Here is a 13,131-nt window from a genome sequence, read left to right on the forward strand (position 1 = left end):
GAGTGCAGTGGCGGGATCTCGGCTCACTGCAAGCTCCGCCTCCCGGGTTCACGCCATTCTCCTGCCTCAGCCTCCCAAGTAGCTGGGACTACAGGCGCCCGCCACTACGCCCGGCTAATTTTTTGTATTTTTAGTAGAGACGGGGTTTCACCGTTTTTTAGCCGGGATGGTCTCGATCTCCTGACCTCGTGATCCGCCCGCCTTGGCCTCCCAAAGTGCTGGGATTACAGGCGTGAGCCACCGCGCCCGGCCCTCTTCCTTTTTTTTTAATGGAGGTGTTTATAGCTATAAATTTTCCTCTAAGCACTTCTTTAGCTCATATGTTTTGGCATACTGTGTTTCGTTTTCATTCATCTCAAAGTATGTTCTAATTTCCCTGTGTGTGATGTTTTTTTTGCCCCTAGTGTCATTTAAAAGTATTCTTCTACCACTGGGGTAGAAGAATATACTCTACATGATTTTAATTGTTTTAAATTTGTTGAGACTTGTTTCATGACCTAACCACAATACTGTAGAATGCCATATGTTTCAAGAAGAATGTGTATTATGCTGTTGTTGGGTAGAGTGTTCTATTATGCTATTACGTCTAGAGTGTCTGTTGTAGATTGTCTGTTGTGCCCAGTTTGGTTTATAGTGCTGTTCAGATCTTTCCTTTTTGATCTTCTGCTTAGTTGTTCTATCTATTATTGTAAGTGGGGTATAACAGTCTCCAACTATTATTTATTGTATTATCTATTTCACCCTTCAATTCTACCAGTTTTACTTCATATATTTTGGAGCATTGTTTTTATGTGTATATATGAATACACTCATTCTGTCTTGATGACTGACACTTTTATTATTATAAAATGACCATTATCTCTAGTAATAATTTTTTCCTCAAAGTATGTTTTGTCTGATATTTCATCAATTCTTATCAACTACTAAGTTTGAGAAACTCTGTTTTGATACAGCATTTTACAAACTGAAGATATATTCAGAGTATTAAAATCAATTTAATAATTCAAATATTAATTTTTGAAAATATAGTCAACTAGAGAAGAATAAAATAGAAAATATGAAACTGTATTATTAGTATACTATCTACTCACTTTATATTCAGTATTGTCTGGTGAAACTCGTGTTACTTATACATAAATATATTGAATATATATGTATGTATTATTCACTATGTGTTATATTAGATTATCATCAAGAATATTTGAAAGCCAATGATTTAAAGATCCTTTTATTTAACTAATATAAGGACAGCAAAGATTCTATTCTGAAATGAAAAAGATGGAATCAATGTTGCAACACTGCAATGTATAATCATGTAAATTCTTGTTTTTACTATGGTTGGAGATTTTTCTCTGTAGATTTCCACCTTGAAGAAAAAAATAATTTTTACCTAAATATAGGTTAAACTGTAGTTTCTTTCTGAAAATTACTGCTTTTCCTTGTAATGTGTGTATATGTATGTATATGTTTTTTTTGTGTTTCTGCCCAAAAATTGTTGGATTTTCAGTTCAGATGACAGCTGAAAGATGTTAGAAGCTGAGATTCACCTCATGTCCACATAAGTGTGCAAAAATGAACAAGGCTAGAACAGTAGAAGCCCAATTTGGGCTGTGTTGTTAAAGCTCCACAAATGGTGTTATGTCTCCCTAAGTAAACACAGTTTTGGGAACTGTAGGTCTACAGGACTAGCAAATTTTCTGTCTTTTGTAATCAAAGAGCAATGCCACATAGCTTTGTAGGGAAGGGATTGACATCTCCTGAAAAATGCAGACAGTCCCGGCTGGGCACTGTGGCTCACGCCTGTAATCCCAGCATTTTAGGAGGCCGAGGTGAGTGGATCACCTGAGGTCAGGAGTTTGAGACCAGCCTGGCCAACATGGTGAAACCCCGTCTCTACCGAAAATACAAAATTATCCGGGCGTGGTGGTGCATGCCTGTAATCCCAGCTACTCTGAAGGCTGATGCAGGAGAATCATTTAGAACCCGGGAAGCGGAGGTTACAGTTAGCCGAGATTGCATCACTGTACTCCAGCCTGGGCAACACGGCAGCATTCTGTCTCAAAAACAAACAAACAAACAAACAAAAATGTAGACAGTCCCATAGGCAGCCAGTTTTTGAAAAGGTCACTCTTGCATAATGAAAAATTCACTTAAATGTGATAAGGTGGAGATTATGGTCTCTCTCAGAGCCCCCAAATAACTGGGTCCTGGATACTACCCAGATCTGGAAGAAAGTCCTGTTAGAGAAAGCTATGTTGATTAAAAAAAAATAAAAAGAAAGATAATAACTAAAACTTATTGAGCTCTCATCATATTCCAGCCCTTACTCTAACAACGTTACAAGTACTAAACCTTGTAATCTTTACATCAACCATATATAGTAGATACTATTATTATCCTTAATTTATAGAGAATAAAACTGAGGCATAAGGAGGTTAAGTAACTTGGTGAAAGTCATTAGCTGACGTATCAGGAGTAGAATTAGAATTCCAGCATTCTGACTGCAGAAACGTCCTTAAATACATCATGCTAATACTCCCCCTAGATCAGAGACAAGGAAGAAGAGCACCCCAGGCGTGATTCTATGGAGGGCTTTGGGCCTATACACTGGATTGGCATCTCTAGCTAGCAGCTATTTTTAAGTCCTTAAGTTCTACCCTTTCACCTCCATGGGACATCATGGGACAATGCAGTGGTCTGGGGTCAACCAATAATGCAAAAGCCAGTCGCCTTTGAAGGTGATGAAGTCTAAGACATTTTGGTTACTCATAAAAATGCCACTCATAATAGTCATGAATCATGAAATTCTCCTAATACTATCTGAAAACAAGGCCATGAGATAAATCAAAGATTCTTTTATCTATGAAATATTCCTCAAGCCCATTTCAAGGACCAGCTTCTGTGCTTGCTGCTAGAAATATAAGACAGAAAGACATTCAAATGCATGCCTGTCTCCAAGGGCAGCAAGTTCTGTGGAGGCTACAAAGATGTATAAGAAAAGGTGAATGGTTGTCACGAAGCAAGTAATTGACATAATCATAGGTAGATGCATAGCATGTTAAGGGATTAGACAGGAGGGGTACCTAACCTATGCAGAGAAGGTATACTACGATATAGATGCTAACACACTAGACCTAGCCAGCATCTCCATGATGGGGAAAGGTTTTACAGGCAAACGGACAAGAACAGGCAGGTGCATAGAGGAGGCTCACTACTGCAGGACGAACTGCTGTGTGTGGAGATTTAGCAGACAAGGCTAGAAAGATAGGATGAAGATTATGAAAGACCTTGAACTTTATGCCAATCAAATGGAAAGTAAAGTGATTCATTTTACATTTAGAATTCTTTATATATGAGGTCAGATTAGGCAGGAAGTACTTGCAAGGGTCTGGCTAGAAGGCAAGGAAGGCTGATTTTGGTGAAAGGAGCAGAGAGTGGAGAAATGGTAATTGACATTTAAGATACAACATTGACTTTGAAGTGGACTGGATATGAGAAAAGATTCTCAAGTTTCTGGCTTGGGATCCTACAGGCCTCCAGTGTATGGGAAGAATGGAGAAAGAAAATAGAGTTTAGAAGCAAGATAACAAAGTTGGGCTGGTGATCATTGAGTTTGAGATTCAATGGTCTTTCATGAGAAGCAGTCTATAGGTGGTTGGAAGTGCAAGTTTAGAGACTATCAGACTGACATGATCTGTGGATATGTATTTCATAAGTGATGAAGGAAAAGGAAACCTTCAGTATTAACAAGATCACTTAGAAGAGTGTGTAAAAGGAAGGGTGACTGGGAGAGGAGAGAGAAGGAGATGGGGAAGGGCAGGGAAAACCAGGGGAGTAGACCAAATAATTTTGAGAACAGCACTTTTTAAGAGTAGGGACACAGTTTTTGACAGAAACTGACAGTAAGCAGACTAAAGGGAAAATAATGGTAACAGGAAACAATGTCAAATGAGAGTTAAGTGAGAAAAAAAGTATAACGTATTTGGAAAAAAGTGAAGGTAAGTATGTATTTAAGTTTGTTATGAAGAATATACTTTAATTCCTTTAAGAATTGTATTTAAGAGTACCCGAATTGGACTAGAAATCAGATATCCATACCTTCTTTTTTTAACTATTATTAAAAATAACAATGTAACTAAAAATCATATGAATTATCTCAAGAATATTAATCATTATATCACTTCAATGAGTTAATGATTAATTTACCATGTACTTTTAATATAAAAGCACCTCATGTTATAAAATTTGAAGATCAATAAATCAGAAAAAAATTGCCATTTAGATTTTGAGGCTATTCGTATAGAGATTATATTTTTTAAAATTAAATTTATATTTATTTTAAAATTAAATACATATTTATGTAATTGAACAATTTTTGTTATAAGTATGTATTATCCAGAGATAAAAGAAGGAAAACATATGATGAAATTATATGTGGGAAATTGGTATATTATACTTTCTTCTAAGCTTTGAAGTTTTCATAAGAGTTCTGATTGCTTCTGCAGGAAAACAAAGCAAAACAAAACAAAATATGTTTAACTTTGTGTAACTATAGCATCTCAGACTTACGTAAATAAAGACCTCTGTTACGGAGCGTTGTCCTACCAATACTGGTGTAAGACACACTGTCTGATAGGATTTGAGTTTTTTTAGTTATTTTGAACATCAGGAAATCATGCCATTTTCTCTTTAAATATACTAAATATAACAAAGGTTTCTTTATTCTCTTAAACAAGAATAGTGGATAAAATTATTTTTGTGGGAACACATATCCAACACCATAATGCAAATTGGAATTATGTAAAGAAATTGGGATAAATTCATTAACACTACATAATTCAAGTACAGATTTCAAGATTCTTAATTTGAGTCACAGAGACAATTTTTGTCAGTCTTCGTAAGTTTATAGTCCAGCCACCAGGTGGCGATCAGAGCGAAATTTTGCTATATTTTATAACTGAAAATTCATTAGTTGTGTGGTCTGCACTATAATATTTTTACAACTTACCTTGTCATTTAATTTGAAGGATGTAGCCTACTCTCTTGCTGAATTATTGATATACAGAAGAATAGACATACGCTTTATCAGATGAGAACATGATGTATAACCAAGGTTTTTCTCAGAAATGGTGAAGTTTCTGTTCTAGTAGGGTCTAGGTTTTTGGATATAGAGTAATTGGTAAATATAAGATAGATCTTGTATATCATGTTGGAAGTCACTGAAGTGACATATAGAGAAACGATAGATAAAGCATGATTATAATTTAATAATTTAATTTTTAATACCTTGGATTTAGGAAAGGTTGCGCTATTAATGCAGTATGTTATAATGCATTTTATCCTCATAACACACATACACATTAGGAAGAGAAAAAAGGAAATCCTGATGCTTTCAGAAAACACTGTAGGTGCAGAAGCCACCTGAGCTGTATGGATCATATGCCTAGAGCCAAAAAAAACCTTTGGCCGGGCACGGTGGCTCACACCTGTAATCCCAGCACTTTGGGACACTGAGGCAGGTGGATCACCTGAGGTCGGGACTTCGAGACCAGCCTGACCAACATGGAAAAACCTTGTCTCTACAAACAAAAAACAAAGAACAAAAAATAAAAAACAAAAATTAGCCGGGCGTGGTGGTGCATGCCTGTGATCCCAGCTACTCCGAAAGCTGATGCAGGAGAATCACTTGAACCTGGGAGGTGGAGGTTGTGGTGAGCCAAGATCGCACCATTGCACTCCAGCCTGGGCAACAAGACTGAAACTCCATCTCAAAAAAAAAACTTTTGCCATTATCTTGTGCCATTATCTTGTACATAGCAGGGTTTCTTTTCCCCCTTCAGAGCATAACACAATGGTTTCTACTTCTAAATATACGCTTAAATATGTATTTTAAAAAAATATTACTACAGTGTCTACATCATTATGTAAGTCATTAAAATGTGTTTAAAGACAATACTAACTATTTCCTTGGCCAAAAGTAAGGGCACTTTTAATTTTTAAAATTTTAAACTTGGCCAAATTGTTTTCTAACAATCATAATATCTCAAATTCACACTAGCACTGTATAAAGTATTCATTCTCCCAAGACATCACCAGTAGTGCACTCAGACTTACAAAAATATTTGCCAGAAAGATAAGCTCCTTAATCAGCACCCATGGCCATTCACTTCCATTTCTCTGCACATCTTCCATGTGTCTCATGCATGCCTCATACCAGATTTTCATGACCCTGTACTTACGGACATATGATTCTTTCTGCTAAGGATAGTCCTTTCCCCCTTTTCTTTGCTTGTGAAATTTTTATCATGACAGCAAAACTTGACCTCCTTAGTCAGGGCTTTCCTCAAATCCCTGGCAATGTCAAATACTGTCTTCTGTGTCCTTACAACACTCTCTTCATATCTCCATATAGAATGGAGAGAATGTCATCAATATTTGCACAACTTCCATCTAAAAGCCTGTAAATCCTATGGCTACAGGAATATATTCTAACTGACATATAGTAAACTATGTGGCACCCTATTGGCATCCAATATTTATTTACTTATTAAATCAGTCAATTAATTTGTTCGCTTAAAAAGCAATTTTAATCATTAGTATGGTTTTTAGCAAAGGAGAATATCTTTTATGAATATTTAACCCACCTGGTAAAAAATGAGAATTGTATTCAGGAGGAGCATCAGGCCTTGGATCTGGTGGTTTTGTTTGATTTTCCATTTCACCTGCAGGCTGTTCAGGGGCTGTGGGTACCACACCTTCAGGGGAAGACAGGGAACATGACTTACAAAGGAAACAATAATATAATGACAAAATGTATTCTTTTTCCTTTCTTATGGGAATGCATCAAGAAATATAATCAACTGGAAAATACACTCCTATATTTTTTAAAGAAAGAATTCATCATATATTAGACACTATTAATAAATTTCATGAATTTTCAAACTGAACATAGATTTAAAAATAGAACTAAACAATTATATTATGCTTGTGATCAAAGCAATGAGCTTTCATACTAGTGGTTCAACTGCCCCGATGCTAACTCTTATCTACAAAGTAAATTCCTGGCATAATAGCAAAAATTATTTTTCCCTTTACATAATATGGAGAACACAAGCATTTATAGAGTGAAGTTGATTTTTTTTCCTAATTATTTTTGGAAAGTGCTGTCTAAAAAGATTCACAACATAACACCATAAACAAATAATGGTTTAATAAACAGTGGTGTCACACACAACTGAATTAGCAATAGTTTAGTCTACATCTCCAGTGACTCACATTTTCACTGTATTCTTTCTAAAAGCAATCTAGGTCACAGTAATTGCTGCAAGGGAGGTACTGAAGTCAGTTTCATGATGTTGTACCTTGTCTTCTTATTGAGATTAGAGACTAATTTCTCTCTCTGCTTACTACAAAAAAAAGCTGAGTTTCCTAAACAACCAGTTGACTTTTATCTCCTAGCAAACAAAAATCCCATAAATGTGGTTTTTCTCTCTTTATGTAAGTTACTAGAAAATACAAGGCCTACTTTCATCCTCCTCTACCAAGGCAGGACCTTGCCACAGGCTCTTTATTACTACAACCTCTCTTTGCAGAACTGCTTTGCAAATCTTGCTTTTTTTATTACCTAATTTTCCCCACAAACTTCAAAGATTATTCAGTAGATATGTGTCCCACTGTAAGTCCCTTTTTAATCTTTTTCTGACAATGATAGGAATGTCTATATACATAAATAACAAATATATACATACATATATATATGCAAACACACACACGTATTTATATTTGCCAAATGTTAAACAAAAAAAAATCGAAATAAAGTCCCCCTTTAGGGAAAATAATCACAAAATTCACATTTGAAAATAAAGCATATTCAAATTTATTCACAAAAACTTACCTGACATTTTGAAGAATTCCAATTAATCCTGAAAAATAAAAAATGTTAATGCCTTTAAAATACATACATAATAAATAGTATTGCTACTCAGTAACACAGGTAAGGATTTCTGTAATTTTTTTAACCTCCAGTTACCTTACATTTGTCCCTTCATTAATTAAAAAAATACTTATTGAGCACCTATTATGTACGAGGCACTAATACAGATGTTGAGAGTACAGCAATGAAGCAGACAGACACTCTGCCACCTACTGTGCTGCAGTTTATATTGTAGTAGAATGAGATTTAAAAAAAGTCAAGAAATGTTAAAGTTTAACGTTAGATAGTACAGTTATGAGGAAAACAATGTAACAAGCTTAAGAGAAACACGGATGGTAAGTTCTAGGAGAGTCAGGGAAAGCCTGTCTCAGGAAGTGACCTTTGAGCTGTTTCAACTATGAAAAATAAACATCACACTACAATTGTGGGAAGAGAGTTCCAGGAAGATAGGAAATTAGTGCAAAGGGTCAGAGATGGCAGTGAGCATGGGATACTGAAGGGAGGAAAAGAGAAAGTGGTTTAGGAGTGACTGGGCCACAGTGAGTGAAGCGAACTGAGGTAAGACATGCAGATAAAGGTCTGATCTCATCTGAAGGCCATGGCAAGGGGTTTGGCATTTTTGGTATTTGCAACTGGGAAGTCTGGAGGATTCAGTCGGTGGAGTGATCAGATCTGACCGACATCATACAATGAGAGCAAGAGTAGAAGCAGGGAGCAGTGAGGGATGGCAGCAGCAATCCAGGTGAGAGCTGACACCAGCTTAGATGGGGGAGGTGACACTGCAGGTTAGGAGTGTTCAGAGGCATGATACGGTTTGGAAGCAGGGCCTCCAGGAGTCGCTGATGGACTAAGGTAAAGAGAGGAGTGGAAGAGGGTTCTGAGTCATAGCCCAAGGTAACTGAGTTGACGGTGATCCTATTAACAAAACTAGAGAGGAGGATAGTGGGGGAATAGTGGGGATGGAGGAGGGTAAGAATTGAAAGTTTAGACTGGGGCATGTTTAAGAAGAGACTAAAAGAAGTTAAACATTTAAATTAAAAATATGTATGGGAACATTATGAGAATAACTCAAAGAAGAAGACTAGAAGTTGAGACGAGATTTGAAACAAGGAATGAGGGTGAAGGTAAATTTTTCTGAATTCAGTCAGGCAAAAAAAAGGCTATTATTTGAGAAGGGAATTTCAATATATCTGAATTTCTGAGTTCTGAGTAATGACAAATAACAAAAAGAGTATCAACAAAGGCTATAATTTACTGAATGCTTATCAAGTGTTAGGCAAAGGGCCCAATTCTTTTCACATATCTCTGATTATAACAACTCTCTAATGTGTAAATGGCCAACCCTGCTAAAGGCAAGTGCTTCTAAATCCTAAGCCTATGTACTTTTCAATATGTGATCATGTTCATAAGAATACAGTCATTTGCGTTGTCCAAGTGGAGTAAAAAAGTATCAAGTTAGAGTAGGTCAAAAAAGCATTCAAACAACGTATTAGTGAGTCATCAATATGGACACTGAGCTGACTCAATGAAAACTGCCATGGTACGAGCCAGTATGCAGATTCCCAGCTGAAATGATTGTCTTGCCAAGACGGGTGAAAGTTTAACCAGTCTTGGACCATCTCCACTCACCTCTGGAGCTGGAGTTTGTTGTACGGTGCCCTATGTGTCTCCAAGCTTAAAAAATACATATAAATATATTTTAAAACATATATATTTACTTTTATATAATATATATTATGTAAAAATGTTTTAAATATATATTTAATATATATTATATATTTTTACATTTATATTTTAAATATATTAATATTTAAATATAAAATAATACAAATATATAATAATTATAAATAATAAATATTTATTTATTTATTTATTTATTCTGGGGCATACCAAAAAGTCAGACCCAATTCTGGGCCAGTAAAAGGAGTTCAAGGGGTTAGTCATATTCCTTAATGATGGTAATCCCTGTTGTTAAGGAAAATGACTACAGCTTTCTAGAAATTTAGACACTCCTAGTTATGTACCTGGAAGTGACTCTTGCACATGCACACAGGATATAGACAAGAATGTTCTTGATAACACTATTCATATTTAAAAGAATGAAAACTTGCCTAATGTCCATCAATGGTAGACTGAATAAATAAATTCTGGTACATTCACATGATACAATAATATCCTGTAGTGAAAACAAATTATAGCTGTGCACGTGGACAGAGATGTATCTCAAAATTATAGCACAACAGAAAAAGCAAATCACTGGAGAATACATGTAGTATTGTGTCCAGAATTGGTGGGTTCTTGGTCTCACTGACTTCAAGAACGAAGCCGCGGACCCTCGCGGTGAGTGTTACAGCTCTTAAGGTGGCGCATCTGGAGTTTGTTCCTTCTTATGTTCCGATGTATTCGGAGTTTCTTCCTTCTGGTGGGTTCGTGGTCTCGCTGGCTCAGGAGTGAAGCTGCAGACCTTCGCGGTGAGTGTTACAGCTCATAAAAGCAGTGTGGACCCAAACAGTGAGCAGCAGCAAGATTTATTGCAAACAGCAAAAGAAAAAAAGCTTCCACAGTGTGGAAGGGGACCCGAGCGGGTTGCCAATGCTGGCTCGGGCAGCCTGCTTTTATTCTCTTATCTGGCCCCACCCACACCCTGCTGATTGGTAGAGCCGAGTGGCCTGTTTTGACAGGGTACTGATTGGTGCATTTACAATCCCTGCGCTAGATACAAAGGTTCTCCACGTCCCCATCAGATTAGTTAGATACAGAGTATGGACACAAAGGTTCTCCACGTCCCCATCAGATTAGTTAGATACAGAGTATGGACACAAAGGTTCTCCAAGGCCCCACCAGAGCAGCTAGATACAGAGTGTCGATTGGTGCACTCACAAACCTTGAGCTAAACACAGGGTGCTGATTGGTGTATTTACAAACCTTGAGCTAAATACAGAGTGCCAATTGGTGTATTTACAATCCCTGAGATAGACATAAAGGTTCTCCAAGGCCCCACCAAAGCAGCTAGATACAGAGTGTCCATTGGTGCACTCACAAACCTTGAGCTAAACACAGGGTGCTGATTGGTGTATTTACAATCCCTGAGCTAGACATAAAGGTTCTCCAAGGCCCCACCAGAGCAGCTAGTTACAGAGTGTCCATTGGTGCACTCACAAACCTTCAGCTAAACACAGGGTGCTGATTGGTGTATTTATAATCCCTGAGCTAGACATAAAGACTCTCCACTTCCCCACCAGACTCAGGAGCACAGCTGGCTTCACCTAGTGGATCCCGCAGCAGGGCTGCAGGTGGAGCTGCCTGCCAGTCCCGTGCCATGCGCTTGCACTCCTCAGCCCTTGGGTGGTCGATGGGACTGGGTGCGGTGGAGCAGGGGGTGGTGCTCGTCGGGGAGGCTCGGGCCGCACAGGAGCCCATGGAGGGGGTGGGAGGCTCAGGCATGGCAGGCAGCAGGTCCCGAGCCCCGCCCCGCAGGAAGGCAGCTAAGGCTTGGTGAGAAATCGAGCACAGCACCGGTGGGCTGGCACTGCTGGAGGACTCACTACACCCTCCGCAGCCACTGGCCCAGGAGCTAAGTCCCTCATTGCCCGGGGCCAGCAGGGCTGGCCGACTGCTCCGAGTGTGGGGCCCGCCAAGCCGACGCCCACCCGGAACTCCAGCTGGCCCGCAAGCGCCGCACGCGGTTGCCGCTGGCGCCTCTCCCTCCACACCTCCCTGCAAGCTGAGGGAGTGGGCTCCAGCCTTGGCCAGCCCAGAAAGGGGCTCCCACAGTGCAGTGGTGGGCTGAAGGGCTCCTCAAATGCCGCCGAAGTGGGAGCCCAGGCAGAGGAGGTGCCGAGAGCGAGGGCTCTGAGGACTGCCAGCACACTGTCACCTCGCAGTATGATTCCACGTAAGAATGTTCAGTAGCAGGAATTCTAAACAAAATACTTCATCTGATAAATATATAGAGGAAAGCTTTAAAGAAATGCTAGGGAATTAAAAACACAAAATTTCAGAAAAGGGTTATGTGTAAAGAAGTGATGAGGGGTGGCTGTTTAGCTGTGGCCCACAAGGAACCCTAAGTTCCTGCCAACATTAAAATTCTATTAGGGTGATAAGAACAAGGCTAATGTCTTGTCATTAGTTTTTAAAAGGTATGTACATGTTTAAATATGCATATTTATATGCATTGCATTATTTCACAATAAACAAGAACCATTTGACAGTTATATGTTGAGTGTGACCTTCTTCTAACTAATGGTCTGTTGTTTGATTATATGTTAAGTTCTTGGGATTGCAAACTATCAAGGAGCCAGAGTGGAAACTAATTACAACAGATTATTTAATGTCTTAGTGAAAAGAGGCCAAATTATTATATCTATGTGTCTGTCCGCCTATCATCTATCTAGCTATCTATAGTGGCAAACTTTTAACAACTGCTGAATCTCAGTGCAGAAATACATTTGAATATTAATTTTTAAATATTTAATTTCAAAATAAAACTTGGAAAAAATATAGAATTCTGGACTCCAAACCTGAAGTAGCACCTCTGGGGTCCAGGCCTGGAAATCTCTACTTTTAACACAGTTCCAGGTGATCCTTATGATCAGGCATGTCTGAGACTAATTCAATGTAAAGAAAAGTAACAGTTCTCAACCATGCCAGGCATTATTAAGCATTCAAATCTAATTCAAGTAATTGAATGATAACTTGAAAAAATAAATAAAATTTTAGAAATATTTAAAGTATTACAAAGCAACTAATCTCAATGAGTTTAAAGAAAAGAAAACTAGCTACATATTGCCTCACAAGTTTCAGATACTCGAAGTCTGTTTACCTTCCATCTCCTTTGAGCTGCTAGTATTTTTTTCTCACCACCCTATATTCTATTCCCTTTCTTATAAAATTTTACAATATAGTTTTAGCCAAAATATTGTGCAAGGCAGGATAATTTCCAGTTAGTAGAAGCATGAATGTTGTTAACTTAATCCTCCTTTAATATTCAGTGAACTGCTTCAGATTTCCCTATCACTTAGCAACAGCAAAAAGTGCCGTATCTTGAAAAAATTGATTTTTGGCTTCATATCTGTCAGAAACCAGACTGGAAAACTGAGCTGTGTCTCCATAACAGGTTAGTATTACAAAGTCTGGAGAGCTGTTAATTGCAGAGGCCTTGGTATTTTGGGGGCATGATATGCATACAGGGGAATCTG

At 38.0% G+C, this 13,131-nt stretch overlaps 1 protein-coding gene across 12 annotated transcripts in view; it reads right to left on the reverse strand.

Moving 5' to 3' along the window:
* PLSCR4 (phospholipid scramblase 4) overlaps window positions 1-13,131 on the reverse strand; it is a 58,771-nt gene that overhangs the window by 21,836 nt on the left and 23,804 nt on the right. For 5 of the 12 annotated variants that reach the window (NM_001128306.2, NM_020353.3, XM_017006921.2 and 2 more), the window contains 2 exons: window positions 7,895-7,922; window positions 6,645-6,755 (listed from right to left, as the gene is read on the reverse strand). In NM_001128306.2, the coding sequence (NP_001121778.1) occupies window positions 6,645-6,755; window positions 7,895-7,901 (118 nt within the window). In that variant the 5' untranslated portion in view covers window positions 7,902-7,922. Of the gene's footprint in view, window positions 1-6,644; window positions 6,756-7,894; window positions 7,923-8,029; window positions 8,133-9,562; window positions 9,608-13,131 lie in introns of those variants that run through there. The other 7 variants (XM_005247655.3, NM_001128304.2, XM_047448623.1 and 4 more) reach the window with 4 other exon arrangements.

Source organism: Homo sapiens, chromosome 3, assembly GCF_000001405.40.
Source record: "Homo sapiens chromosome 3, GRCh38.p14 Primary Assembly".
NCBI classification, from domain to species: Eukaryota; Metazoa; Chordata; class Mammalia; order Primates; family Hominidae; genus Homo; species Homo sapiens.